At 50.7% G+C, this 27710-nt stretch overlaps 1 protein-coding gene and 4 non-coding genes across 6 annotated transcripts, besides 14 other annotated features; all 5 read left to right on the top strand.

Annotated features, from left to right (window-relative positions):
• Positions 9333-9627: a silencer, noted in NCBI's record as "tiled region #3662; HepG2 Repressive DNase matched - State 13:Ctcf". NCBI's record gives its function as "represses a minimal TATA promoter and a strong SV40 promoter by Sharpr-MPRA in HepG2 cells {active_cell/tissue: HepG2}" and the evidence as "EXISTENCE:reporter gene assay evidence [ECO:0000049][PMID:27701403]".
• Positions 16451-17339: an enhancer, noted in NCBI's record as "NANOG-H3K27ac-H3K4me1 hESC enhancer chr22:39716397-39717285 (GRCh37/hg19 assembly coordinates)". NCBI's record gives its function as "activates a minimal SCP1, AML or CMV promoter by ChIP-STARR-seq in naive and primed H9 embryonic stem cells {active_cell/tissue: H9 hESC(naive and primed)}" and the evidence as "EXISTENCE:reporter gene assay evidence [ECO:0000049][PMID:30033119]".
• Positions 17340-18229: an enhancer, noted in NCBI's record as "NANOG-H3K27ac-H3K4me1 hESC enhancer chr22:39715507-39716396 (GRCh37/hg19 assembly coordinates)". NCBI's record gives its function as "activates a minimal SCP1, AML or CMV promoter by ChIP-STARR-seq in naive and primed H9 embryonic stem cells {active_cell/tissue: H9 hESC(naive and primed)}" and the evidence as "EXISTENCE:reporter gene assay evidence [ECO:0000049][PMID:30033119]".
• Positions 17504-17923: an enhancer, noted in NCBI's record as "active region_19044". NCBI's record gives its function as "activates an Ori minimal core promoter by ATAC-STARR-seq in GM12878 lymphoblastoid cells {active_cell/tissue: GM12878}" and the evidence as "EXISTENCE:reporter gene assay evidence [ECO:0000049][PMID:35858748]".
• RPL3 (ribosomal protein L3) lies at positions 18108-24849 on the top strand. Of its 2 annotated transcripts, none has more exons than NM_001033853.2 (10): positions 18108-18136; positions 19139-19331; positions 20102-20270; positions 20890-20908; positions 22206-22362; positions 22885-23045; positions 23523-23624; positions 24002-24097; positions 24421-24540; positions 24747-24849. In NM_001033853.2, exons 1-10 carry the CDS (start codon positions 18134-18136, stop codon positions 24789-24791), a joined length of 1065 nt encoding a protein of 354 aa, NP_001029025.1. In that variant the 5' UTR covers positions 18108-18133; the 3' UTR covers positions 24792-24849. The 2 variants fall into 2 exon arrangements, with proteins under 2 accessions (NP_001029025.1, NP_000958.1); NM_000967.4 differs by having other exon boundaries at positions 20890-21025; positions 22176-22362.
• Positions 18230-19119: an enhancer, noted in NCBI's record as "NANOG-H3K27ac-H3K4me1 hESC enhancer chr22:39714617-39715506 (GRCh37/hg19 assembly coordinates)". NCBI's record gives its function as "activates a minimal SCP1, AML or CMV promoter by ChIP-STARR-seq in primed H9 embryonic stem cells {active_cell/tissue: H9 hESC(primed)}" and the evidence as "EXISTENCE:reporter gene assay evidence [ECO:0000049][PMID:30033119]".
• Positions 18314-18363: an enhancer, noted in NCBI's record as "active region_19043". NCBI's record gives its function as "activates an Ori minimal core promoter by ATAC-STARR-seq in GM12878 lymphoblastoid cells {active_cell/tissue: GM12878}" and the evidence as "EXISTENCE:reporter gene assay evidence [ECO:0000049][PMID:35858748]".
• Positions 18618-18679, top strand: SNORD43 (small nucleolar RNA, C/D box 43). Its single transcript, NR_002439.1, has one exon. It is a non-coding gene; the product is annotated as a small nucleolar RNA, C/D box 43 (small nucleolar RNA).
• Positions 20010-20898: an enhancer, noted in NCBI's record as "H3K27ac-H3K4me1 hESC enhancer chr22:39712838-39713726 (GRCh37/hg19 assembly coordinates)". NCBI's record gives its function as "activates a minimal SCP1, AML or CMV promoter by ChIP-STARR-seq in primed H9 embryonic stem cells {active_cell/tissue: H9 hESC(primed)}" and the evidence as "EXISTENCE:reporter gene assay evidence [ECO:0000049][PMID:30033119]".
• Positions 20103-20192: an enhancer, noted in NCBI's record as "active region_19042". NCBI's record gives its function as "activates an Ori minimal core promoter by ATAC-STARR-seq in GM12878 lymphoblastoid cells {active_cell/tissue: GM12878}" and the evidence as "EXISTENCE:reporter gene assay evidence [ECO:0000049][PMID:35858748]".
• Positions 20303-20382: an enhancer, noted in NCBI's record as "active region_19041". NCBI's record gives its function as "activates an Ori minimal core promoter by ATAC-STARR-seq in GM12878 lymphoblastoid cells {active_cell/tissue: GM12878}" and the evidence as "EXISTENCE:reporter gene assay evidence [ECO:0000049][PMID:35858748]".
• SNORD139 (small nucleolar RNA, C/D box 139) lies at positions 20835-20889 on the top strand. The gene has a single exon (NR_000026.1). It is a non-coding gene; the product is annotated as a small nucleolar RNA, C/D box 139 (small nucleolar RNA).
• Positions 21293-21342: an enhancer, noted in NCBI's record as "active region_19040". NCBI's record gives its function as "activates an Ori minimal core promoter by ATAC-STARR-seq in GM12878 lymphoblastoid cells {active_cell/tissue: GM12878}" and the evidence as "EXISTENCE:reporter gene assay evidence [ECO:0000049][PMID:35858748]".
• Positions 22424-22518, top strand: SNORD83A (small nucleolar RNA, C/D box 83A). Its single transcript, NR_000027.1, has one exon. It is a non-coding gene; the product is annotated as a small nucleolar RNA, C/D box 83A (small nucleolar RNA).
• Positions 23820-23912, top strand: SNORD83B (small nucleolar RNA, C/D box 83B). The gene has a single exon (NR_000028.1). It is a non-coding gene; the product is annotated as a small nucleolar RNA, C/D box 83B (small nucleolar RNA).
• Positions 26233-26694: a silencer, noted in NCBI's record as "fragment chr22:39707042-39707503 (GRCh37/hg19 assembly coordinates)". NCBI's record gives its function as "represses an EF-1alpha promoter that drives an FKBP-Casp9 reporter gene in an ReSE screen in phorbol 12-myristate 13-acetate-treated (for megakaryocytic differentiation) K562 erythroleukemia cells {active_cell/tissue: K562(+PMA)}" and the evidence as "EXISTENCE:reporter gene assay evidence [ECO:0000049][PMID:32094911]".
• Positions 26233-27039: a biological region, named in NCBI's record as "H3K27ac-H3K4me1 hESC enhancer GRCh37_chr22:39706697-39707237".
• Positions 26499-27039: an enhancer, noted in NCBI's record as "H3K27ac-H3K4me1 hESC enhancer chr22:39706697-39707237 (GRCh37/hg19 assembly coordinates)". NCBI's record gives its function as "activates a minimal SCP1, AML or CMV promoter by ChIP-STARR-seq in primed H9 embryonic stem cells {active_cell/tissue: H9 hESC(primed)}" and the evidence as "EXISTENCE:reporter gene assay evidence [ECO:0000049][PMID:30033119]".
• Positions 27429-27638: a silencer, noted in NCBI's record as "silent region_13749". NCBI's record gives its function as "represses an Ori minimal core promoter by ATAC-STARR-seq in GM12878 lymphoblastoid cells {active_cell/tissue: GM12878}" and the evidence as "EXISTENCE:reporter gene assay evidence [ECO:0000049][PMID:35858748]".

Raw genomic sequence — 27710 nt, 5'->3', positions numbered from 1 at the left:
CTGTAGTCCCAGCTACTCAGGAGGCTGAGGCACGAGAATCTCTTGAACCCAGGAGGCAGAGGTTGCAGTGAACTGAAATCGCGCCATTGCACTCCAGTCTAGGTGACAGTGCTAGACCCCATCTCAAAAAAAAAAAAAAAAGAAGAAGAAAATTATTGAGCATCCCCAAAATGCTATTAATACTTACCATATTAGAAATTAAGGCTGGCTGCAGTGGTCACACCTATAATCCCACAACTTTGGGAGGCCGAGGCAGGAGGATTGCTTAAGCCCAAGAATTTGAGACCAGCCTAAGCAATATAGTGAGACTCCCATTTCTACAAAAAATTTTTAAAAGTAAAAAAAAAAAAAATTAGCTGGGCATGGTGTCACATGCCTGTAGTCCCAGCTTCTTGGGAAGCTGAGGTGGAAGGATTGCTTGAGCCCAGGGTTTGAGGTTGCTGTCAGCTGTGTTTGCACCACTGCACTCCAGCCTGGGTGACAAAGCAAGGACCTGTGTGTTAAAAAAATAAAAAAGAAAAATTAAAAATTAAATGGAGGTGATGTCCTTGATATAACAATAAAAATTATTACTTAAATATCAACCTTGGGAACGGGTCTTTTTTTTTGAGATGGATCTTACTCTGTCTCCCAGACTAGAGTGCAGTGGCACAATCTCGGCTCACTGCAACCTCCACCTCCCGGGTTCAAGTGATTCTCCTGCCTCAGCCTCCTTGGTAGCTGGGATTACAGGTACATGCCACCATGCCAGGCTTTTTTTTTTTTTTTTGAGACAGAGTCTCGCTCTGTTGCCCAGGCTGGAGTGCAGTGGCACAATCACAGCTCACTGTAGCCACGACCTCCCTGGGCTCAAGTGATCCTCCTGCCTCGGCTCCCAAGTATCTGGGACCACAGGCACAGTATCTGGGATTATAGGTGTGAGCCACTGCGCTCAGCCAAATGTAACATCATTTTTATTTGAAAGAACAACTGATAGCCAAACTGTGGTTTTAAAATTTTCTCCATTGTAACTTTTTTTTTCTTTTTGTTCTTAGAGTCAGGTCTCGTTCTGTCACCCAGGCTGGAGTGCAATGGTGTTATCACAGCTCACTGCAGCCTCAACCTCCTGGGCTCAATCGATCCTCTCGCCTCAGCCACCTGAGTAGCTGGGACCACAGGCACGTGCCACTGTGCCTGGTTAATTTTTAAATTTTTATTTCTTAATATTTTTGTAGAGGCAGAGTCTCACTATGTTGACCAGACTGCTATCCTGCCCTTAAGTGAGCCTTCTGCCTTGGCCTCCCAATGGATTGGGATTACAGATTACAGGTGTGACCCACTGCGCCTGGCCTCAAGGACATTCTTAAGTAAAACTGTTTTTTGTTTGTTTGTTTGTTTTACTTTTAGAGCAGGGAGGTGAAGCATATAATGACCACATACGTAGTTTGTGCCACTGCCTTGTCATACTATGGAGCCAGAAATTTTATCTACAATTATTTTGCATCATTAGTTTAAATGTCAACACAGGGAAAAAGACAAATAATATCTTGGTATTATTGTGAAGATAATTTTGACTTTGCAGTTCGCTTGAAAGTATCTCAGGAACCCTAGGAGTCTGCAACCCACACTCTGAGAACTGGTGCTTTAACATTTGGTAGGAAAACATTATTTATGTATTTTCAGTTATGTTAAATTTGTTCGCTGGGCCCAGTGGCTCATGCCTATAATCCCAGCACTTTGGGAGGCAGAGGTGGGTAGATCAGCTGAGGTCAGGAGTTCAAGACCAGCCTGGCCAACACGGTGAAAGTCTGTCTCTACTAAAAATACAAAAATTAGCCTGGCATGGTGGTGTGCACCTGTAATCCCAGCTACGTGGGAGGCTGAGGCAGGAGAATTGCTTGAACCTGGGAGGCAGAAGTTGCAGTGAGCTGACCTCACGCCACTGCACTCCAGGGTGAGACTCTATCTCAAAAAACAACACAAAAATAAATAAATAAATAAATAAATAAATTTGACCAGGCGCGGTGGCTCATGCTTGTAATCCCAGCACTTTGGGAGGCTGACGCAGGCGGATCACGAGGTCAGGATATCAAGAACATCCTGGCTAACACAGTGAAACCCCGTCTCTACTAAAAACACAAAAAATTAGCCAGGCGTGGTGGCGTGCACCTGTAGTCCCAGCTACTCGGGAGGCTGAGGCAGGAGAATGGCGTGAACCCCGGAGGCGGAGGTTGCGGTGAGCTGAGATTGCACCACTGCACTCCAGCCTGGGGAACAAGAGCGAAACTCTGTCTCAAAAAGAACAAATAAATAAAAATACAAAAATTAGCCAGGAATGGCGGCCGGTGCCTATGATGCCAGCTACTCGGGAGGCTGAGGCAGGAGAATCGCTTGAACCCGGAGGGTGGAGGTTGCAGTGAGCCGAGATTGTGCCATTTCACTCCAGCCTGGGTGAAAGAGCAAAACTCCATCTTAAATAAATAAATAAAAAGTAAAAAATAAAAAAAAATTTAAAAAGGGGAGGCATGAATAATCTACCCCTTGTTTAGCATATAATTAAGAAATAACCATAAAAATGGGCAATCAGCAGCCCTACTCTGTCTATGGTGTAGCTATTCTGTTATTCCTCTACTTTCTTTCTTTCTTTTTTTTTTTTTGAGAAGGAGTCTCGCTTGGTCGCCCAGGCTGGAGTGCAGTGGTGTGATCTCGGCTCACTGCAAGCTCTGCCTCCCGGGTTCTGGCCATTCTCCTGCCTCAGCCTCCTGAGTAGCTGGGACTACAGGCGCCCGCCACCACTCCTGGCTAATTTTTCATATTTTTAGTAGAGATGGGGTTTCACTGTGTTAGCCGGGATGGTCTCGATCTCCTGACCTCGTGATCCGCCCACCTCGGCCTCCCAAAGTGCTGGGATTACAGGCGTCAGCCTCTGCACCCGGCCCATTCCTCTACTTTCTTAATAAACTTGCTTTCACCTTACTCTATGGACTCACCCTGAATTCTTTCTTGCGCAAGATCCAAGAACCCTCTCTTGGGGCCTGGATCTGGACCCCTTTCCCATAACAATACCACTGAGGCAGAAATTTAAAAATAAATATGCATTCATTCACTCTAAGAAAAGTAACAGGCAAGGCAAGGGTTAAAAGGAAAATAACAAGTTTTCCTCTGTCTAGCAAAGGAAAGTACAGCAAGCTCACTTCAAGGACAGTTATATGATAACACTGTTTGAGAAGTCAAGGCCAAAGGAGTGGGCTCCAGACACCTCCCCTCCAGAGCAAAGTTGAAGGAAAAAAAAGAGAGAAAGACAAATTATTTTACTGTTACTCCTTTCCCTGGTTTCTTAAGCATGATTATGTTTTACAAATGTCTGTATTTAGCCAGTTCTTGTTTTTCTTTCAATGCAGCTACAAAGCCACCGGCTATGTAAGACCATAAATTATGCTATGCTATAGATTATGTGACCTATCATATGATTAGCTGCTTTTGTTTTACTTTTGTAAGCCAGCTTATAAAAACCCCGCTCTGTCTTTGTTCTAGGCTCAGCTTTTTGGATGTGAGTCCACTGAGCTGGTGCGTACCTGAAATAAACAATCCTCCTGTACTCAGATCAAGACCATCCTGGCTAACACGGTGAAACCCCGTCTCTACTAAAAATACAAAAAATTAGCCGGGTGTGGTGGCGCTCGCCTGTAGTCCCAGCTACTCGGGAGGCTGAGGCAGGAGAATTGCTTGAACCCGGGAGGCAGAGGTTGCAGTGAGCCAAGATCGCGCCACTGCACTCCAGCCTAGTGACAGAGCGAGACTCCATCTCAAAAAAAAAAAAAAAAAATCCTCCTGTACTCTCATATCAGTCTCTCCGTTCCTCAGTTTACCACAACACCATCACACTGGTGATTAGGTTTCAATATATGAATTTTGGGGAACACAAACATTCAGATGATAGCAACAACATAGCAGGAGGTTCTGGGTGGATTAGAAACATGGGGCTGGGTGCAGCGGCTCACGCCTGTAATCTCATCACTTTGGGAGGTCGAGGAAGGCAGATCACCTGAGGTCAGGAGTTCAAGACCAGCCTGGCCAACATGGCGAAACCCCTTCTCTACTAAAAAATTACAAAAATTAGCTGGGTGTGGTGGCGTGCGCCTGTAATCCCAGCTATTCAGGAGGCTGAGGCTGGAGAATCTCTTGAACTGGGGAGAGGCAGAGGTTTCAGTGAGCTGAGATCATGCCACTGTACTACAACTTGGGAGATGGAACAAGACTCTGTCTCAAAAAAAAAAAAAGGAAGAAAAAGAAACATGGCCCATCAGAATTCTAAAAGGTAAATACGTGGAAGGAGTCTCAGGCCATCTTTTTTTTTTTTTTTTTGAGACAGAGTCTCACTCTGTCACCCAGGCTGGAGTGCAGTGGCACGATCTCGGCTCACTGCAAGCTCTGCCCCCCGGGTTCATGCCATTCTCCTGCCTCAGCCTCCTGAGTAGCTGGGACTACAGGTGCCCACCACCACGCCCGGCTAATTTTTTTGTATTTTTAGTAGAGACGGGGTTTCACCGTGTTAGCCAGGATGGTCTCGATCTCCTCACCTCGTGATCCCCCCACCTCGGCCTCCCAAAGTCCTGGGATTACAGGCGTGAGCCACTGCCCCCGGCCCGAGATGGTGAATTTAATTGATAAATGTGTGTGTTCTGACTCTTCTATTGACTCACCATTTCTCTGTCTCTTTCCCTCTCTAGGGCAGCCCTATTTTTTGAGATACAACAGTACTGAAATTAGGCCAGCTGATAACTGCTCAATGGCCTCTAAGTGTTCAAGTGAAAGGAAGAGTCCTGTCTCTCAGTTTCAATCAAAAACTAGCAATGATTAAGCTTAGTGAGGAAGGCATGCCAACAGCCGAGACAGGCTGGATTTAGGCCAGTTAATAACCCTACAATGGCCTCTCAGTGTTCAAGTGAAAGGAAGTGTCACATGTCTCTTGCTTTAAATCAAAAGCTGGAAATGATTAGGCTTAATGAGGAAGGCATGTCAAAAACTGAGATACGCTGAAAACTAGGCCTCTTCCACTATGCAGTTAGCCAAGTTGTGAATGCAAAGGAAAAGCTTTCAAAGGAAATTAAAAGTGCCACTCTAATGAGTACATGAATGATAAGAAAGTGAAACAGGCTTATTGCTGATATGGAGAAAGTTGGGTCTGGATAGAAGATCAAACCAGCCACAACATTCTCTTAAACCAAAGACTAGGCCAGGCGTGGTGGCTCACACCTCTAATCCCAGCACTTTGGGAGGCCGAGACGGGAGGATCACCTGAGGTCAGGAGTTTGAGACCAGCCTGGCCAACATGGCAAAACCCCATCTCTACTAAAAATACAAAAAATTAGCCAGGTGTAGTGGTAGGTGCCTGTAATCCCAGCTACTCGGGAGGCTGAGGCAGGAGAATTGCTTGAACCCGGGAGGCAGAGGTTGTAGCGAGTCATTGCACTCCAGCCTGGGTGACAGAGCGAGACTCTGTCTCAAAAAAAAAAAAAAGACAAAGACTAACCCAGCGCAAGGCCCTAGACCCTAGCTCTCTTTAATTCTATGAAGGCTGAGAGAGATGAGGAAGCTGCAGAAGAAAAGCAGAAGCTAGCAGAAGTTGGTTCATGAAGTTTAAGGAAAGAAACTGTCTCCATAACATAAAAGTGCAAGGTGAAGCAGCAGGTGCTCATGGAGAAGCCACAGCAAGTTATCCAGTTCTAGTTAAGATCGTTGATGAAGGTGGCTACATTAAACAGTAGAGTTTCAATGTAGATGAAACAGCTTTATATCAAAAGAAAATGCCAGGAAGTCTTTCATAGCTAGAGAGGAGAAATCAATTCCTGGCTTCAAAGTTTCAAATGACAGGCTAACTCTCTTGTCAGGAGTTGGTATAGCTGGTGAGTTTAAGTTGAAGCCAACTGCTCATTGATAATTCTGAAAATCTGAAGGCCCTTAAGAATTATGCTACGTCTACTCTGCCTGTGCTCTGTAAGCGGAACACCAAAGCCTGGATGACAGCACATCTGTTTTTCTTTCAAAATATTACTGCTCGTTGACAATACACCTGGATACCCACGAGCTCTGATGGTGATGAATGTGGTTTTCTTTTTTTTTTCTTTTGTTTTTGAGATGGAATCTGGCTCTGTCCCCCAGTCTGCAGTGCAATGATGCAATCTTGGCTCGCTGCAACCTCTGTCTCCCGGGTTCAAGCAATTCTCCTGCTTCAGCCTCCCAAGTAGCTGGGACTACAGGCACGTGTAATCCCAGCACTTTGGGAGGCCGAGGCGGGTGGATCACTTGAGGTCAGGAGTTCGAGACCAAGCTGGCCAGCATGGAGAATCCCAGCTACCCTGAATCTGTTCTCCACCCGGCAGCTAGGGGGCTCTTACACCACAGATTAAATCGCTTTATTCCACTGATTAAAATCCACCAGTACTAGGGGCCTAGAGGGACATTGAGCTGGGTCTCGGCATGTTCCTCCATCTGCAGTTCCTTCCTCCACTGAACTCTTGTTTGTTTGTTTGTTTGTTTTAAGACAGTCTCGCTCTGTCACCTAGGCTGGAGTGCAGTGGCACGATCTCAGCTCACTGCAACCTCTACTTCCCAGGTTTGAGCGATTCTCATATTTCAGCCACCCCCATTCGCAGGTTGTAGGTGGACATATCTTTTTTTTTTTTGAGACAGGGTCTTGCTCTGCCTTAGGCTAGAGTGCAGTGGTGCCATCTTGGCTCACTGCAGCCTTGAACTCCTGGGCTCAAGTGATCCTCTCTCCTCAGCCTCCTGAGTAGCTGAGACTACAGGTATGTAGCACCATGACCAGCTAATTTTTAAAAAATAGAGATGAGGTCTTGCTATGTTCCTCAGGCTGGTCTCAAACTTCTGGGCTCAAGTGATCCTCCCACCTCAGCCTCCTAAAGTGTTGAGATTACAGGCATGAGCCACTATGCCTGGCCTTCCACATACATTTTAGAATCAATGTATGAGTCACCCCATCCCCCCACCTCTTGCCCAAATCCCTTGGGATTCTGGTTGAAATCCTAATGATTTTAAAGATTACTATGGAGATGACTGACTATTTTATTTTATTTTATTATTTTATTTTTGAGATGGAGTTTCACTCTTGTTGCCCAGGCTGGAGTTCAGTGGCACAATCTCGGTTCACTGCAACCTCTGCCTCCTGGGTTCAAATGATTCCCCTGCCTTAGCCTCCCGAGTAGCTGGGATTACAGGTGCCCACCACCACACCCAGCTAATTTTTGCATTTTTAATAAAGACAGGGTTTCACCATGTTGGCCAGGCTGATCTCGAACTCCTGACCTCAGGTGATCCACCCACCTCAGGCTCCCAAAGTGGTAGGATTACAGGCGTGAGCCACCGCACCTGGCCACAACTGACATTTTATTTTTATTTTATTTATTTATTTATTTATTTATTTATTTATTTATTTATTTTTGACACAGAGTCTCACTCTGTCGCCCAGGCTGGAGTGCAGTGGTGCGATCTCAGCTCACTGAACCTCCGGGTTCAAGCAATTCTCCTGCCTCAGCCACCTGAGTAGCTGGGATTACAGGCGTGTGCCACCATGCCTGGCTAATTTTTGTGTTTTCAGTAGAGATGGGGTTTCACCATGTTGGTCAGGCTGGTCTCGAATTCCTGACCTCAGGTGATCTGCCGCCTTGGCCTCCCAAAGTGCTGGGATTACAGGCGTGAGCCACCATGCCTAGCCTATTTATTTACTTTTTTGAGACAGAGTCTCACCTTGTTGGCCAGGCTGGAGTGCAGTGGCATAATCTCGGCTCACTGCAACCTCCACCTCCCGGGCTCAAGCAATTCTCCTGCCTCAGCCTCCCGAGTAGCTGGGATTACAGGCGTGTGGCACCACACCTGGCTAATTTTTATATTTTTAGTAGAGACGGGGTTTTGCCTTGTTGGCCAGGCTGGTCTCAAACTCCTGACCTCAGGTGATCCGCCTACCTTGGCCTCCCAAAGTCCTGGGATTACAGGTGTGAGCCACTGCGCCTGGCCACAACTGACATTTTAAAGACATGTCAGGCCATCCATGAACTGGTGATGTCTCTCCATTTATTCAGGACTTCTTTTATGTCCTTTAATAGAAAAGAGGTGGCGGGGTGTGGTGGCTCACGCCTGTAATCCCAGCACTTTGGGAGGCCGAGGTGGGCGGATCACCTGAGGTCGAGAGGTGGAGACCAGCCTGACCAACATGGAGAAACCCCGTCTCTACTAAAAATACAAAAATTAGCTGGGTGTGGTGGTGCATGCCTGTAATTCCAGCTACTTGGGAGGCTGAGGCAGGAGAATCGCTTGAACCCAGGAGGCAGATGTTGTGGTGAGCTGAGATTGCGCCATTGCACTCCAGCCTGGGTGACAAAAGTGAAACTCCATCTCAAAAAAAAAAAAAAAAAAAGGAAGAAGGTTTTGTGCACTATTTGTTCGAGTAATTAGAGGGGGAAGAGCATGCTACAATTCATAAACGACACCTTTTTATAGATCCCCTCTCCTCAGAGTCCTATTATCTATATTTTGCAGGAAAGGGAACTGAGGCTGAGAAGGGTAAAGGAACCTCCGCAAGGATACACAGTAGTGACAGGGCTGAGACTAGGTCCCCCAGCCCAGCCCCTGGTATGCATGTGTCTTGCATACTGGGAACCACCCACCAGCCCAGTAAAGGCCTAAGTGGACAGATCTGTCGCCATTCTATCTCCCCCTGACAAAGCTAGGCAGGGAACATACCGGGGGCCGGCCCACAGTTAATCGCTTTATTTTAAGCTCTGCATGAAGAGAGACACGGCACAGATATACAGAAAAATGATGAGGAGACAGGTCGTCTTGAGCTGCTGTGCGAGGGCCTGCTTGGATGAAGATTTCAAGGCCACCTTGCTTGTCCTACTGCTCCAGAACCTGGTGCTAAGAGATATGTTGGTGGCCCCATAGCCACAGCCTTCTTCTCCCTCGCTGGCATCCTTGACCCCAACCACTATGCACAGGCTCATGGAGGCTGGTGAGAGCCTACTCATGGTGGCCAGGTCAGGTCCGGGGAAGTGCTGGCTGAAAGGGATGGTGGTCGCTGGGAGGATAGTGGTGACTGCATCCAGGTCTGTGGAGGCTGCCCGGCACAGCCTGGCCCTCTCCAGGGGTTGAAGGCCACAGCCCCGCATGGCCTAGGCCACCCGTCCCATGGCCACCCACAGCCTGTCCAGGCAGCAGGCCAGCAGGGACATGGCCATGTGCTATAGCACGGCCTGCAGCAGCAGCTCCAACACCTTGCTGTTATCGTGGCGGAAGCCCACCAGGCTGTAGTAGGCCCAATGGGCCATGGAGAACACGGCTAGGCCGGCCTCCCACCACAGGTGTTGCAGGAGTCGTGAGATGCAGCGGCAGGCTCCATGGATCAGGGTGATGAACAGCTGTAGGTTCCAGATCCGCACAACAGTCAGCTGCTGCCACAAGGCCCGCTGGCCAGCCAGCATCACCTCCATGCACAGTCTCCAGGACAGGATGAGGATGAGACCTCCACCCACTGGCAGGCTGCTGCACCACAGGATGCAGGCGCCCAGCATGGAGACCGAGAGCCAGTGGGAGGCTGGATTTGCCATCTCCGCCTGCAGCCCCAGCAGGGATGCACAGAAGTTCACCAGGCCTAGGCCACACAGCAGCAGGAACGGAAGCAGGATCTGCCAGACCTCCCTGCCCAGCCAGCTCCCATTCTGTGGGGCATTTCCCCCACAGCTCCTCGTGGAGAAGCACAGCAAGGGGCCTTCACGACCCAAAGGCTGTGTACCCAGGCTCCTGCCCCAGGGACATGAGGCTGCACTCACGCCCCAAGCTCATATTAGCTGACCCTCTGGACCAAACATCCTGTCACCTGGGCAGGGTAGTTTTGCAGTGATCAATGACAGCACAAAAGATCAGGATATGAACTTATGTCAAAGAGAGGGCATAATTGCTTTGTCCATAATGGGCAATGCAGGCAGCCATTGAGAATGCAGCTGTAGGCTGGGCACAGTGGCTCATGCCTGTAATCCTAGCACTTTGGGAGGCAGAGGCGGGCGGATCACCTGATATCAGGAGTTTGAGACTAGTCTGGCCAACATGGCAAAACCCCATCTCTACTAAAAGTACAAAAATTAGTCAAGCGTGCTGGCGGGTGTCTGTAATCCCAGCTACTCAGGAGGCTGAGACAGGAGAATCGCTTGAATCTGGGAGGTGGAGGTTGCAGTGAGCTGAGATTGCGCCATTGCACTCCAGCCTGGGCAACAAGAGCAAAACTCTATCTCAAAAAATAATAATAAGTCAGGCGCAGTGGCTCACACCTGTAATCTCAGCACTTTGGGAGGCCGAGGCGGGTGGATCACTTGAGGTCAGGAGTTCGAGACCAGCCTATCCAACATAGCAAAACCCAGTCTCTACTAAAAATACAAAAATTAGCTGGACGTGGTGGTGGGCACCTGTAATCCCAGCTACTCGGGAGGCTGAGGCAGGAGAATCACTTGCAAACGGGAGGCGGAGGTTGCAGTGAGCTGAGATTGTGCCATTGCACTCCAGCCTGGGCAACAAGAGCAAAACTCTGTCTCAAAAATAAAGAAAGAAAGAAAATGCAGCTGTAATGTCCTCGTTTGGGTCCACTATTTTCATGCCCTCATCTGACAAATGCGACTCAGCATCTTCTCTATGCTAGGCTCTGCCTCCAGGCAGAGCACATGGGGAGGAGACATATGCTTTGCCAACATGAAGCCCCCAGGCTAGTGGGGGAACACAGACCTTTAAACACCATCAAGGCAAAACTGTCCCACCCAACTCCTCTCTTGCCCTCCTGCTTCCTCCATTCTCCTCCTCCTCAAGTCCTCCTAATCTTCCACAAAAGTTAGAGTACACCTTGGGTTTTACCTGGCAGCAGAGACCATCTGCCCTTCAGGTATGTGAGCAAAATCTTGGAGTCTTTTCTGCTGCTTACTACAAGTTCCGTTTTGAAAAAAAAAAAATTCGATGGGGGACTCTTTGTAAATAAAGTTAACCCATTTCTTTTCAGACTCTGGATTTGATTTTTGCATTAAACTGGCAGTCAGTGATCATATCATTCAACCCACTCGTTTTAAAAGGCCTCTTGTAAACAGCTCACACGGATCAGCATGTCGCTGTGAGTTCTTTGGTCTGCACTGAGCGTACACGGCCATTGTGTGTTCACTGTGGGCTGATGTTCCAGGCATCATCGGCTGTACTACCCTGGCCCCCTTGAGGAGGACCCCTGGGGAGAAATGTCTTTCAAGCCTTATTTCAGGAACAGCAGACTCCTTCTGGCCACTGGTTTGCTTTTATCATGTGGATATTGTGAACCATGTTTAGCCATATTCATCGTTTTTATTTGGCTACACAGAAACTCTGAACCAAATGAGAGGACCACCTCTGGCACAAACACAGAGATCCATAATGTGTATTTTAGATGTGATCCCACTTCCGGCTTCCTCTTATATCCCTCCATCATGCCCTTACCTTTTTTTTTTTTTTTTTTTTTTGAGACGGCGTCTCACTGTGTCACCGAGGCTGGAATGCAGTGGCGCAATCTTGGCTCACTGCAACCTCCACCTCCCGGGTTCAAGCGATTCTCCTGCCTCAGCCTCCTGAGTTAGTTGGGATTACAGGCGTGCGCCACCATGCCAGGCTAATTTTTGTATTTTTAGTAGAGATGGGGTTTCACCATGTTGGTCAGTCTGGTCTCAAACTCCTGACCTCATGATCCACCCGCCTTGGCCTCCCAAAGTGCTGGGATTACAGGCGTGAGCCACCGTACCTGGCCATGTCCTTACTTTTACCCTGATGAATTACATATGTCTTGATATGTAGCCTTACATCTGTACTTGAAAGGAGAAAGGATATAGTTAACCCCATAAATGAATCCATCCCTACACATATAAATCAAACTCTTCCTTCTAAAATAACAACACATACCCAATATCCAAAATGGGCATCCTGATTCCCATACTCGCTACTTCCTGTCCCACCCACCCTGACTCATACAAATAGTTTCCAGAGCCTGTCCAGTCTCAACATCTGATTTATCCCCTTTCCTTCCTTCCTTCCCTTCCTTCCTTCTCTTCCCTTCCTTCCTTTCTTTTCTTTTCTTTTTTCTTTCCTTTCCTTTCTTTCCTTCCTTCCTTCCTCCCTCCCTCTCTCTCTTTTCTTTCCTTCCCTTCTTTCTTTCCTTCTCTCTCTCCCTCTTTCTTTCTCTCTTTCCTTCCTTCCTTCCCTCTCTCTCTGTTTCCTCCTCCTCCTCGTCCTCCTCCTCCTCCTTCTTCTTTCTTCTTCTTCCTCCCTTTTCTTTTGAGACAGAGTCTTGCTCTGTTGCCCAGGCTGGAGTTCAGTGGTGTGATCTCGGGTCACTGCAACCTCCACCTCCCAGGTTCAAGTGATTCTTGTGCCTCGGCCTCCCAAGTAGCTGGGATTATATGCCTGCACCACCACGCCTGGCTAATTTTTGTATTTTTAGTACAGACAGTGTTTCGCCATGTTGGCGAAGTTGGTCTTGAACTCCTGAGCTCTGTGATCCGCCCATCTCAGCCTCCCAAAGTGCTGGGATTACAGGCGTGAGCCACCGCGCCTGGCCACTCATCCCTTTCTTCTGTATATTCACCTTCAGTGCCCTTTGCCAGGTGCCTATGTTGGTGGCTTACACAGAACAGTGAAAACTCCTTCCATCCTCTCCTAATCCAGCTGGCCCCGTAAAATCACCCTTCTAAAATGCACAGGTGCTGATCTGGCATGGTGGCTCACGCTTGTAATCCTAGCACTTTGGGAGGCCGAAGCAGGAGGATCATTTGAGCCCAGGAGTTGGAGACCAGCCTGGACAACATAGCAAGAGCCTGTCTCATTATAAAAATAAAAATAAGTGCACAGGTGTTCATAGGCTTTCAATGCATTCCACTGGCCTCAGGATGATGTTTTCCAGCTGGAAACTTTAGGTCTGAACCCTACCTATCTTCCTAAACTGGCCTCCTGCCACTGTCTTCTAGTCTGGCTGTGCCAAATCACAGCTAGTTCTGCAGGCCACTGTCTTTTATCCTTTCTGCCTTTGCACACGTTCCTACTGCCTGGAGAGCTGCCCTTTTTGCTGGACAAATAAGAATCCTTTGAAGCCCAGTTCAAATGACATCTCTGTGGTTGAGGCTTCCCTGATGACCCTGCCCATAAATTGGGGAATTCACCAGTTCTTTTTGCACAGGCCTCTGTTTCATAGCTATGATGTAGGTAGACTGATCTCTTCCAGGGCAGGGGTCCCAACCCCACCTCTGTTTTATTCCGTGTTTCAGAGCCCTGCATGGGGCTAGGCAAAGCAGGCTCGGTACATATTTGTTGAATAAATGAATGAATTCCTCATTTGACAGATAAGGAAACTGAGGCCTAATCCAATGTTGTGCTGAATCCCTATTTTTATTTTTATTTATTATTTTATTTATCTATTTTTGAGACGGAGTTTTGCTCTTGTTGCCAAGGCTGGAGTGCAATGATGCTATCTTGGCTCACTGCAACCTCTGCCTCCTGGGTTCAAGCGATTCTCCTGCCTCAGCCACCTGAGTAGCTGGACAGGCATGTACCACCACGCCCGGCTAATTTTGTATTTTTAGTAGAGATAGGGTTTCTCCATGTTGGTCAGGCTGGTGTCCAACTCCCGACCTCAGGTGATCCGCCCGCCTCAGCACTTTGGAAGGCTGAGGTGGGCGGATCACCTGAGGTCGGGAGTTGGAAGTACTGGGATTACAAGCATGAGTCTCCATGCCTGGCCAAAGTACGCTACCGCTGAATCCCTATTAACCTCAATAGGGAAGGCATCAGGTTCAAGAAACCAAAGAAGAGACCCAGAGCCAGCAAATGAGACATGAGTTTGTTTGTTTGTTTGAGATGGAGTCTCACTTTGTCGCCCAGGCTGGAGCGCAGTGGCATGATCCCGGCTCACTGCAACCTCTGCCGCCCGGGTTCAAGCGATTCTCCTGCCTCAGCCTCCCGAGTAGCTGGGATTACAGGCGCCTGACACTACGCCTGGCTAATTTTTGTAGTTTTTTAGTAGAGACGGGGTTTCACCATTTTGGTCAGGCTGGGGTTGAACTCCTGACCTCGTGATCCACCCACCTTGGCCTCCCAAATTGCTAGGATTACAGGCGTGAGCCACTGCGCCTGGCTTGTTTGTTTTTTGAGACAGGGTCTCACTTTGTCGCTCAGGCTGGAGTGCAGTGGTGGGATCACAGCTCATTGTACCCTCAACTTCCTGTTGGGCTCAAGGGATCACCCCACCTCAGCCTCCTGAGTAGCTGGGACCACAGGCATGCACCATCACACCTGGCTAATTTTTGTATTTTTTGTAGAGCCGGGGTTTCACCATGTTGCCCAGGCTGGTGTCGAACTCCTGAGCTCAAGCTATTCACCAGCCTCGGCCTTCCAAAGTGTTGAGATTACAGGCATGAGCCACTGTGCCTAGCCAACATAGGGTTTTATTAGGGGCGTAGAGGAGAGAGTCTAATGGTGGCGGGCTGGACCACATATCCTCCTTACATACACTCCAGTGGTGGTGTGCTGGATAGGAAAACTGCAGGTGGTTGCAGACAGCATGCAGTTTATACAGCATTTTCACTTAACACCTTCCCCTTAATGACCTCTCTCTGGTAGCCTTCATTTAACCCAAAACTTAGGACCTCAATCCCTGGTATAGTCTGTATTCCACAGGACTGGCTGGGGGCTCAGGTGTTCCTCATAGACAAGGAACCAGTCTTCGGGTTGGCCTTGCCCAGATTCCTTAGCTCGAACACACATGCAGGTGCATCTGCCATACAAGGTCATTCTAAGGGTATGCTTAAGTTATTGCTATTAGGTGCATTTACCCTACACCTAGTGAGCTATCTGTATGCTGGCAAGGCAGTTCAGGTCTACTGATGCTCTTTTCTTTCTTGACTGGAAAGGGAATTCTTGAGGGAGAATAGTTTGCCCAGGACCCTTAGTGGCACTTTTCTTTTGAACCTTCATTACAATTTTAAATTGTCTTATTTGGTCTGTGACAGTGGCCATCTTGTTCTCTATATTCCTGCAGCCTGGTGCAGGACCCGGCACAGAGCAGGCCTCCAGTAAGAATTTCTTCTTGCTCAGGATTCCAAAGCTCCTTTTCCGATAAGGGGATTATTGATCCCTGAGTCTAATGCCGTGAAAAACCAACCTGGAGTCAGATAGACTTGAGCTCTGTCCTTCACTAATTATGTGACTTTGTCAAGTTATTAACCTCTTGGCTGGAAGTTTAGTTTTCTATGTAAAAACGGGGCAATAGGCTGGGCGCGGTGGCTCACACCTGTAATCCCAGCACTTTGGGAGGCTGAGACGGGTGGATCACGAGGTCAGGAGATCAAGACCATCCTGAATAACACAGTGAAACCCTGTCTCTACTAAAAATACCAAAAATTAGCCGGGCCTGGTGGCGGGTGCCTGTAGTCCCAGATAGTTGGGAGGCTGAGGCAGGAGAATGGCATGAACCCGGGAGGCAGAGCTTGCAGTGAGCCGAGATAGTGCCACTGTGCGCCACTGCACTCCAGCCTGGGCGATAGAGCCAGACTCCGTATCGGAAAAAAAAAAGGGCGGGGGGCAATATGGGTAGGTTATAATCCTTTGTCTGCATCCTGAAATTTTTTTTTTTTTTTTTTTTTGAGATGGAGTTTTGCTTTTCTCACCCAGGCTGGAGTGCAATGGTGCAATCTTGGCTTACTGCAACCTCCATCTCCCAGGTTCAAGCAATTCTCTTGCCTCAGCCTCCCAAGTAGCTGCGATTACAGGCGCCCACCACCACCCCTGGCTAATTTTTGTATTTTTAGTAGAGACGGGGTTTCACCATGTTGGCCAGGCTGGTCTCGAACTCCTGATCTCAGGTGAACCACCCACCTTGGCCTCCCAAAGTGCTGGGATTACAGGCATGAGCCACCACGCCTGGTCTTGTTTTTTTTTTTTTTTTTTTTTTGAGACAGAATCCTGATTGGTCACCCAGGCTGGAGCACAATGGCACGATCTCGGCTCACTGCAACCTCTGCCTCCCGGATTCAAGCAATTCTCCTCCCTCGGCCTCCGGGGTAGCTGGGACTACAGGCGTGCACAACAACTGCTAATTTTTGTATTTTTAGGAGAAACGGGGTTTCACTGTGTTGGCCAGGCTGGTCTCAAGTTCCTGACCTCCAGTGATCCACCCTCCTCAGCCTCCCATAAGTGATGGGATTACAGGTGTGAGCCACCGTGCCTGGCCTGTATCCTGAAATTTTAAAAACCTTCTTAAATTATTTGGCAGCAAAAAGTAAACTGATGCATTTTTTGAGCAGCAAAGTCAGCCTTGAACTGATGTGAGTCTATTTATATTTGTCCCACTCCATGTGAATATTCATGTTTCCTTACGGAATATTGTTTTTCTTTAAAAAGTGCTGTATTACATAATATACAGTATGTGCACCATATTACCTTTCTAAAAATCAAAAAATGCTCAATTTTGAAACATATGTGGCCCCCAGGATTTCTAATAATGGATTGAAGATCTATCACTTATGTCCTTCGGGAATGGTGTGAGGATTGAGATAATTTTTTTTTTTTTGAGCTGGATTGCACTGGCGCAATCTCAGCTCACTGCAAACTCCGTCTCCCGGGTTCAAACGATTCTCCCGCCTCAGCCTCCCAAGTAGCTGGGATTACAGACGCACACCATCGTGCCCCGCTAATTTTTGTATTTTTAATAGAGACGGGGTTTCGCCATGTTGCCCAGGCTGGTTTCGAACTCCTGACCTCAGGTGATCCGCCCGCCTCGGTCTCCCAAAGTGTTGGGATTACAGGCGTGAGCCACCGCGCCTGGCCGAGAGAATGCTTTTCAAACGACGGTGGGAGCAAAGGCCAGGCCCAGAATTAAAGAAGATGACAGGGTGGGACAGAGGAAGCAGGTGATATGAGAGCGTGTGCTCTGGCGCAGCCATGAGGCTGAAGTAGACGGTTAGGGGAGCGTCTTTGGTGGCCGCTGAAGTTGATGCTTAATTCCGAGGAAACAACGAGGCGGCCATGGAAAGTAACGAGATACTTGATTCTTAGAAAGATTTGTAGGGGGCCAGGCGCGGTGGCTCACACCTGTAATCCCAGCACTTTGGGAGGCCGAGGCGGGCGGATCACGAGATCAGGAGTTCAAGACCAGCCTGGCCAACATGGTGAAACACCGTCTCCACTAAAAATACAAAAAAAAAAAAAAAAAAAATTAGCCAGGCATGGTGGCGCATTCCTGTAATCCCAGCTACTCGGGAGGCTGAGGCAGGAGAACTGCTTGAACTGGGAACCGGTAGGCGGAGCTTGCAGTGAGCTGAGATCGCGCCACTGCGACAGAGCGAGACTCCGTCTCAAAAAAGAGATTTGTAAGGGACCAGCCTGGAAGCAGGGAATCGGTCAGGATCCGAGTCACCCTGGAGCCTAGGCAGAGATCAGCGAAAGCCCTCGCTGATGCATAGGTCTGGAAGGCGTGGGGCTCCGGGAGGCTGAGCAGCTGGACTCGGCATGACCAGAGGTCGTGAGGCCGTTCCGCAGGCTTGGGACGCTCCTGACCCTCAGAATCAAGCGCGGGCCACTGCATTAGCATGGGAGAAATGGCAGAGATAGGGCTTGAGGGAGGGATGCCCGAGATTAAAGGTATTAAAGGTAAATTGGTGTCGCCGCAAAACCAGCGTGGGAGCCAGGAAACGAGAGTTTCAGTCTTTCTTCGCTAATTCCAGAGATAGCTGCATATCACAGGAGGAGAAGCGACGCAGCCATTTTTCTTCGTTATTATCAAATTTGGCTGCTGCCGGACGCCGTAGATTTGTGGCTCACCCACCCTTAGCCCACCTCTCCGCGGCTTTTCACTAAGTTTGAACCCGACCCCTCGCCGTAGAGTGTGTAATTTCTGTCTCCGAAGCTGACGTCAACTTCTGAACGAAAGCTAGGAGCGGAAGAGCGTGCGTGGAAATGGCGCTCGGTACGTGCCCCCGACCTGTCGTCTGCCGCGGGGGCGCGCTCGCACGCCGGAAGGGGCGGGGCCAGATTTGGCTTTATATAGCGGACCCGTAAGGCCGACCGGCCTCTACCGGCGGGATTTGATGGCGTGATGGTATGTGTTGTAATGGCGGCCGTTTCATTGTCACCGGCGTCGGCACGGCTGAATCCGCGACGCATCGCCGCCATCCCGTCTTGGCCGGCGCCGGGGGTTTGCTTTAGGGGCACGGGCGACCCAGCGGGGACTTCAGTCTGGCCTATTTTCTGGAAAGTCGAGAGGCTTGTGAAGAGCGCTTGGAGGACTGGCTTTGGGCCTGCAGGTCGGCCAGAGAGAGGCCGTAAGGGTGGGAGCAGGCTTGGAGGCCCGGCGTTTTTAAAGCCATGAGTCATTTCTAAGTTTCGACCTCACCAATTCTATCATTAGTTGGGATTAGGGCCCATAACCTGCTTGTCTGGGTAGAAGGACCTTGGGTGGAGGTTCTCGGCGCCGTTCTCATTGGGAGGTAAAGAAGCTTGGGGGAGGGGAGTGTTGTGGAGTCCTCCTGAATATCTGGGGCCGCTGGTGCACTCCGAAGGCCTCTGGAGCTCGCAGAAACCACAGATGATGAACTTATTGACGGGCGGACAGAAACTGTGTGCTGATTGTCACGTTCTGATTTGGCTCTGCGGAGTTCTTTGGCCTGTGTGTATCAGTGTAATTAGTGTCCGGGCACCGGAGGCAGCCTATAGCTTAACATTGCTAGCTGCTACCCAGCGTTTGTCCCGGGAGTCCCTTTCTTTAGCGGTCAAAACCTTGCTAATTGGCATATAAAGCTGCCTGTTAAGCAGTTTTTAGTGCCACTACTTAGTGTATTTTTGTGTGGTTAGATAAAAAAAATGGGTCGTTTTCTTACAGGTTGAGAGGATTTGAAATAAGATTCAGCTTAAATTTTGTCGAATACAAAAGCATTCTTGACACGTGCGAGCCTGGAAGAGATAATGACCTTTTTATTCGGCTTGCTGGGTGTCTGGTCAGGATTCTTCAGTATTGCTGAGATTTGGAACTTAAGCAGCTGGGAACTAGAGAAGGGGGCACTGCTTTGGTTTGGGTGCTGACGGTGATTTTTTTCCCACCTAGTCTCACAGAAAGTTCTCCGCTCCCAGACATGGGTCCCTCGGCTTCCTGCCTCGGAAGCGCAGCAGCAGGCATCGTGGGAAGGTGAAGAGCTTCCCTAAGGATGACCCGTCCAAGCCGGTCCACCTCACAGCCTTCCTGGGATACAAGGCTGGCATGACTCACATCGTGCGGGAAGTCGACAGGCCGGGATCCAGTATGTACAGACATCCTAAAAGTTGGGGGAATAGGAGTGGAGGGGGAGGGAAATTGTAGAGATGGAGTCAAGCTGTTAGCAGAGGGCAGACTTTTTTTTTTAAGCAGGAGTTACACGTTGTCAGAACTGCTGCGACAGCAGAATGGGAATGCTTAACTTGAAAACTAATATTCCAAGGCTACAGATGGTCAGCACTGTTTGCTTTAGGTGCGGTGTGGGGTATTGATTTCAGAGCATAGTAAATTTGCCAGGAACCTTAGCAAAGAGAAGTTAACACTAGTGTGGGGGGTTGGAGCTGCTGAGGCTGGCATAAGAACTGCCTCATTCATGTTTTTTTCACCTGAAAGCTTGAATAATGGCCACTTACCTGTGTGTGTTCTACTTAGAGATGTCTAACAGCACTGGTTGCTGAGCCATGGAGACATTAATGTTAGGCAGTTGATACTGACTAATCTCTGAGCTCAGAGCTATTGTTAGGGCACTGAATTTTCCAGATAAATAGCAATCTTGTCTGCCTCCAGAGGTTTCTGTAGAAGAGAATTGAAGCTGGACAGGTATTTGGCTGTCTAGGGTCCTGATATTTTTTGTTTGAATAACATAAATGTGCTTTGAATGAGAGATAGGCAGTAAGGACAGCCCTGTGAGTCCGTACTGCAGGTGTGGGGCCCAGTTGCCCTTCCGGCCTAAATGGGCACTTTGCATTTTCCTAGAAAACATTACACCCCTTGCTTGGGCTCCTGCCAAGTCTGACTACTGCTTTTTTTTTGCAGAGGTGAACAAGAAGGAGGTGGTGGAGGCTGTGACCATTGTAGAGACACCACCCATGGTGGTTGTGGGCATTGTGGGCTACGTGGAAACCCCTCGAGGCCTCCGGACCTTCAAGACTGTCTTTGCTGAGCACATCAGTGATGAATGCAAGAGGCGTTTCTATAAGAATTGGTAAGGGAGGAGGCCATGCAGTCCCTAGCTTGGGAGCTTGGGAGCTGGAGAGCAGGGAGCAGCGTGTGCATGGTTTCTCAGCTCTGTAGCAGGCAGGGAGCTGCTGTCTTGGGTTTAGTTTGCCTCTCGAACAGAAAAATACCTGGGATCAGACTTGGCCAGCCATCTGGTTTCAGCCGGAAGCTAACACCCTCATTCTGAGTCCAGGCTAGTGGGTGGTGGCTGAGGACCCAGTTGGTTGAGGAGTCCAACTAGAAACCAGGAGAGGTAGCAGAATAATTAAACCCCTATAGGGGTGGCAAGGGCCTCTGGCCCTGGGTGGAATGTCCCATTTCCTTCATCACTGAGTGGGCTTCCCCAGGGCAGAAAGGTTTGTCCCGGAGCAAGAATTTTGTTTGAATGCGTGTAACTTAAATTAACCTTGTGGACCTCTGCTCAGCTCCGCTCGGCTCTGCCCGATGAGCTCCATCCAGGCTCCGCTTGCTGGTGGAAAAGGCTCCTTAGAAGCCGGCAATGAGCTCCATCCCCACGCGGTGCCAGTGTGCCTTCCGCTCACCCCTCGGAGGGGTGATGAAGGCCTGCACCTGGTCCCCTCCCCAACTCTGCTCTGCTCCTGAAGGCATAAATCTAAGAAGAAGGCCTTTACCAAGTACTGCAAGAAATGGCAGGATGAGGATGGCAAGAAGCAGCTGGAGAAGGACTTCAGCAGCATGAAGAAGTACTGCCAAGTCATCCGTGTCATTGCCCACACCCAGGTGAGCCCAGTGCCCCGGGGTGGCTTGGCCTGCCACTTAGTAGAAGTGACCTATGTGATCATGGGGGTCCCGTGCCCGCACGCTTATGGGTAGGCTTCTCCCTTGCCAGCAGAGGGCACTGTGTCCTTACTGGCCCTTAGCAAGGGAACCATTCCCCTTTAAAATTCAACTGGTGACTCACCAGTAACACTGAAATGCCTGCCTGAAAGTCGGTTGTGAGGTACTGGCTGCTCTCCTGGAAACCTAGTTGATGAGCTGAGCAGGCTTTTTATTGACTTGGTTAGAGTGGGTGCCTCTTGCTGTCCTGTTACTGGTTATCCTGGCTGATCTCAAGTGCTGAGTGCAACCCCATGTGGTGAGGGCCACCACGGATGAGAGTGCATGTCCACCGTTGAAATTTTGTCAGGACATTGCCAGGCTGTCCTTGAGTGAAAGCTTTATGCTTAAATGCATTTTTTTTTTTTTAGAGACAGAATTTCGTTCTTGTTGCCCAGGCTAGAGTGCAATAGCCCTATCTCAGCTCACTGCAACCTCCACTTTCTAGGTTCAAGCTATTCTCCTGCCTCAGCCTCCTGAGTAGCTGGGATTACAGGCATGCGCCACCACGCCCTACTAATTTTGTATTTTTAGTAGAGACGGGGTTTCTCCATGTTGGTCAGGCTGGTTTTGAACTCCTGACCTCAGGTGATCCACCTGCCTCGGCCTCCCAAAGTGCTGGGATTACAGGTGTGAGCCACCGCTCCCGGTGATGCATTTTCTTACTTAGAGCTTGTGCTCTCTCAAAAGCAGGCTTGTCACTAGGGCAAGTGTAGGTGGCTGAGGTAAAACCACTGCAGTACCCCAAAAGGAACTGACCCAAAGGACAGCCACAGGAACATTGGGCTGGTAGGGGCTGGGATCTGGTTGTTTGCCTGTGGTGTGGGTCTTGTCCGCTCATCCTGACAGTAACTCAGGCACCAGTATCCAAAGTTAAGTTGTTGCTGTTGGCAAAAATGAAAGTTCCTTCCTCTTGGTGAGGTTCAGTGACTTGTTCAGAGTTACTGGCTTTTTGCCGTGTGCTTGACATCAATCAGGCCGCATGGAGCTGCAGTTCCTCTGCTGTGGGAGGAGCGCTGGCAGCTGGAGCTGAGCTGTGTCTACCTTCTCCTAGATGCGCCTGCTTCCTCTGCGCCAGAAGAAGGCCCACCTGATGGAGATCCAGGTGAACGGAGGCACTGTGGCCGAGAAGCTGGACTGGGCCCGCGAGAGGCTTGAGCAGCAGGTACCTGTGAACCAAGTGTTTGGGCAGGATGAGATGATCGACGTCATCGGGGTGACCAAGGGCAAAGGCTACAAAGGTGAGCTTTGCGGTGGCTTGAGTTGCTGTGCAAACCTGGGGGAGAAGTGGTTTCAGGCCCAGCTGTTCGTTGATGAGGCTCAGAGTGAGCGCTGGGTACAGCGCCCGAATCGGACAGTGTAGAACCATTCTCTACTGCCTTCCTTCTGAGAACAGCCTTGTGGTCAGAAGTGGCTGGGATAGCGGAGGGCCAGGGGACAACTTCTTAACACGTTCCTGGACCCTTTGCTCTTTGTAGCCTACTGATAACTGCAAAGGGGAGCTTGGAATTATGTTAGTCAGTCCCTGTGAATGGGGGAGCTTAAACTAATGGATGCCTTAAAAAGCACCCATTCAGAATTGAGTTCAGGGTGACACCCCCAGAGCCTATCCAGCTTGACAGGGGAGACCTGTGGGTAATGCACATGAAATAATCTTATCACTCCCTCAGATGACCCAGCCATGGTTGGTAATTGCTGAGTAGCAGGAAGGGGTCAGTGGGAGGTGCTGGGCGCTGAGGTGAAGTAATGTGTATCCATTCCAGGGGTCACCAGTCGTTGGCACACCAAGAAGCTGCCCCGCAAGACCCACCGAGGCCTGCGCAAGGTGGCCTGTATTGGGGCATGGCATCCTGCTCGTGTAGCCTTCTCTGTGGCACGCGCTGGGCAGAAAGGCTACCATCACCGCACTGAGATCAACAAGAAGGTGAGGTTCTGAGAGTGGCTCCCTGGGGGTGGGAAGAGGCCCCCGTGATGGGGAGTGGGGTTTCTGTGCCTGTCAGTGCTGCTTCACTGACTGTAGCTTATGCATCACGTGGACATCAGTGGCTTGCTTCTCATGGTCAGTTCTGGCCCATCTTGATGATTTGTAAGGTGCCATCCTGTAGAGTGGCTGTGGTGGGGCTGACTGGTGTGGCTGGGGATACTAGTCTTATTGGTCCCTGATGCCACCACCAGGGGGGTGACAGGCCTGTGTTGTACAGCAGGATCTTTAGTTTTAGCCCAGCCGCCTTACAGAAAGGAACCTGGAGGGCCAGCCAGCTTTTTGCTCTGACCTTGGGATACGCTGTGACTGGGACTGAGGCCTCAGCTGCCTTCTAGCGTGCTTTGCAGGTCAGCACACTGGCATGTCTGGGTTATTTGTCCCTAATGCCCCAGCCTTACACCCTTCTTGTTCATTCAGATTTATAAGATTGGCCAGGGCTACCTTATCAAGGACGGCAAGCTGATCAAGAACAATGCCTCCACTGACTATGACCTATCTGACAAGAGCATCAACCCTCTGGTAAGTAATGGGTGTTCTGCTCTGTGAGGCCATCCCAGGCCTCGTGCTTTTGGGGATAGGCTGCTTCCTAGGGGCTGCTAGCAGGATCGTTAACTGAAGCCAACACAACACCTAGCTGTGTCCCTTGTAAGTGGCATGTTGTCATCTGAGTCCACTCGTCGGGGTTGGCTGGTGAGAAGTGGGGTCTCAGGCTCAGCTGTTCAGTGATGAGGCCTGGAATGTGCGCTGGGCACAGCGCCCGAGACAGACTGCGGAACCGTTCCTTGTTGCCTTCCTTCTGAGAACAGCCCTGTGGTCAGGGAGGGCCTGAACCTGGAGGGGTCATCTGCACGACAATCCCCTCCTGGGCCTGTGCTGATCCGATGCTCGTTTTCCAGGGTGGCTTTGTCCACTATGGTGAAGTGACCAATGACTTTGTCATGCTGAAAGGCTGTGTGGTGGGAACCAAGAAGCGGGTGCTCACCCTCCGCAAGGTGAGGCAGGTCCTGACTTGTCATGGGGGGGCTCTTGTAGAGGGAGGATCCAAGGCCACAGACGCTGGTGGCCCTGTGGTGGGAGAGGAAAGGAAGGAGAGGGTGTTGGCAGTCCTTTCACACTGGCTTTGAAGTCCTGAGATGAGGAAATTCCCAGTCTGGCCTTGCTGGGCTGTTTGCTGCTTTGAGTGTGTCCTCATCTGCCGGATGGTGGGGGAGGCTGAATTGATCGTGTGGCTTCCCAGATGCAGGGGCGCTGTGAACAGTGCTGAGGAAAGCCTGGCTCCTCGTAATCCTAAATCCCTTCCCCTCTTGGCCCATAGTCCTTGCTGGTGCAGACGAAGCGGCGGGCTCTGGAGAAGATTGACCTTAAGTTCATTGACACCACCTCCAAGTTTGGCCATGGCCGCTTCCAGACCATGGAGGAGAAGAAAGCATTCATGGTGAGCACCTCTGCCTGCCCCCCTCGCTGGGTGTGGTGGCTTGGGCAGCCGCCTGCCTTTGGCTCCAGCCGGGGTAGGGGTGGTCTTGATGCCTTAGGCCTCTCTTGTGGCTGTGGAGACTGGCCCAGAGTCTTGGTCTCCTCTAGAGTGGGCATCTGCTGTCACCTGTCATCTTCTACCTCTGACCACTGCCTCTCTCCCCACAGGGACCACTGAAGAAAGACCGAATTGCAAAGGAAGAAGGAGCTTAATGCCAGGAACAGATTTTGCAGTTGGTGGGGTCTCAATAAAAGTTATTTTCCACTGACATCTTGCCTCTTTCTTCAGGAGAGAGGCTGGGACTGGGGAGGCAGATGGGGGCCCTTGAGGTGCCTTGTGCTCCCCAAGGCCACTGCCCTCCTTTCTGTAGCTTCGCTGGGTTTGCCTTCTGGCCTCCCACTCTGTCCCCCACCCTCAGTCCCTGGAGGGAGGTAAAAGCTGGGCCTGGTTCTGCAGCTGAGCTGTAGAAATCCAGCCTGGAGCAGTGGGCATTGTGCAAATGTTTGTCACCAGGGTGAGGCAGCTGGGTCTCTGCTGTTTGCACAGCTTGGGTGATGCCAGTGCTGTGGAGACGAGAAGGAGACAGGGAGGCCTGGATGTTCCCTGGCGCGTTTGATGCTGGTGTGCAGGCAGACCGTGGGTTTGTTACTTGTTTAAAAAGTTCATTTGGTTTTAAATTAATCCAGGGAAGGGTGGCTTCCAGTTAAGGCTTGTTCAGGTTCTTTTGTAATCTGCACCCCAAGTCTGGTACTGGGAGAACATGAACACAGGCACAGAGGTTAAGGGACTTCCCCGGCTCGGCAGCTGGAAGCCTAGTTGGAACATGTGGCAGAGGGCTGTGTCCCCTCTGGGCTGGGGTCTACCTTCTGGGACTTGGCTGGTGCAGTCCCTGTTCCCACTGGAGATGGCCCCTGTACCCCAGCCCCCTCGGGCATGGGACTTATGTGCTTTCTTGACTTGCACGTTGAGTGCCTGCTGCCCTCAGTCCCTGGAGCCCAGGATGCTGGGGTGCAGCTGCTGCTGTAAGCTGAAGGAAGCCCCCAGGCTCTGGACTGACCCCTGTGACCTGGCCTGGAGCCCGGTGATCTCGGTGAAGCCCAGCACAGACCCTGGTGCTTGGACCCACTTGCTGACTCCCCGTCTTTGCTCAAGCTGCACCTAGGCTCTACCAGGACGGGGTGTGGAATGCAGGTCCCCTGATGCTGTCGAAGCTGCTCCCTCAGACTCAAGGTGCTGTGGCTGTGAGCAGGCGCTGTGCTGTACTCCATCCCTCGCTGAGTTACTTGTGGATAGAGTCCCCAGCTGCGCCAGCTGACTGTCCACCCAGCAGTGTCTGGCAGGCCTGCTAGTCACCGGGACCCTAACTGTGTGTCTGAGTCTCTGTTTATTCGGATGGATTGGCAATAGCTGGGATCTGAGGATCAGCGTGCAGGGTGCACCTGTGGGCTCGGGGCGTGTGTGGGACTGCGGGAGAACAGTTGTGGAGATGCCCAAGTTGTCACTGTCTCCCTGTGGACCTGAGGGTGCAGGGTGAAGCACTAAAATATCTTGAAGTCGGTCGGGCGCGGTGGCTCACGCCTGTAATCCAGCACTTTGGGAGGCTGAGGTGGGCGGATCACGAGGTCAGGAGATTGAGACCACGGTGAAACACCGTCTCTACTGAAAATACAAAAAAATTAGCCTGGCGTGGTGGCAGGCGCCTGTAGTCCCAGCTACTTGGGAGGCTGAGGCAGGAGAATGGCGTGAATCCAGGAGGCGGAGCTTGCAGTGAGCCGAGATGGCGCCACTGCACTCCAGCCTGGATGACAGAGCGAGACTCCGTCTCAAAAAAAAAAAGTCATCCAGGTGCAGAGCGGATAAGTGCCATGTAGGTCCTGAGGCAGGGGCAGGTCAGAGTTGAGTTGTGTGCAGCGGGAACCTTCCCCACGTGTGTCTGTCCACCCTGCAAGTCTCCAGCTCCTTCTGAGCTTGGCTTGGGGCAGTTGGTCTCAAGGCAGAACCCTCCTTCCTGCAGCCCCTCCCATCTTTGGCTCTGCAGCCTGGGCCTAGGTGACTGGAGCTGCACTTCAGGTTGGAGCCACCAGGGGGTGAGTGCGGCACGTGCCCTGCAAGAGGGCCCTGCTAGGGGTTTTGGATTGGGCAGGGTTCCTTTCTGCATCAGGGTCTTCGGATGCCCCGCAGTCATGGGAGTCAAGTGCACAGCTGGAATGGGTCATGACCTATTGTCCCAAGGCCACCAGGCACCTTAGTGGCAGGGCCAGGTGTGAGACCTGGTTGCCTGGTCTCCTGGGTGCTGCCTCTTGTCAGTCTCCATGGTTAGATCTCGTCCTGGTGGGGATGCTGACTGGGCAGGGGTCCCAGCCTGTCCCCTCCCTTCCCCATCCCTTAGGCTGGGCCTGGAGCCCCGCTGCCTACCAGCCCAGAAAGGAAAGGGTTTGCTGGTCTGAGATGTCCTGGCCGAGCCTGGCTGCTTGTCCAGGGCTCTGTACCGAGTTCTGGGTATGGCCAGGATGACAGGACGCAAAGAACAAAGGCCCCTAGGGGTAGTCTGTCTGTCTTCCCCCAGGCTCAGGACACACACATAGGCACCCAGTACCACAGACACACCTGCAGGCTGCAAGTGGAGGCTGGCATCACACCCGTACCTATCCACATGTGCCCAAGTGCACAGAAAGCCTTTCTCACGGGCAGCCTGGCTTGACTGGGGGCTGAGCCTTTGCTGTTGACAGCCCCTCAGCCCTTCCTTGCCTGCCGTGTGTGGTGGCTCACGTCTGTAATCTCAGCACTTTGGGAGACTGATACGGGAGGATGGCTTGAGCCCAGGAGTTTGAGACAACCTAGTGAGACCTGTCTCTACAAAAGATTTAAAAGTTAGCTGGGTATGGTGGCGCGTGCCTATAGTCCCAGCTACTTGGGAGGCTGAGGTGGGAGGATCCGCTTGAGCCTGGGAGGTCAAGGCTGCAGTGAGCCATGCATGATTGCACCACTGCACTCCAGGCTGGGTGACAGAGCAAGATCCTGTCAAGAAAAAAGGCAGTTTAGAAGTGAAGACGGCTGTGAGGAAATAAAACAGGTCACTGGGATGGAGTCATGTGGGTGGGGTCGGGGAGGCCTCTCTGAGATTTGAAAGG

This window comes from Homo sapiens, chromosome 22, assembly GCF_000001405.40.
Source record: "Homo sapiens chromosome 22, GRCh38.p14 Primary Assembly".
NCBI classification, from domain to species: Eukaryota; Metazoa; Chordata; class Mammalia; order Primates; family Hominidae; genus Homo; species Homo sapiens.
Note: the sequence above shows the minus strand (reverse complement) of the source record. Positions and strands in the feature narration are given on the sequence as shown.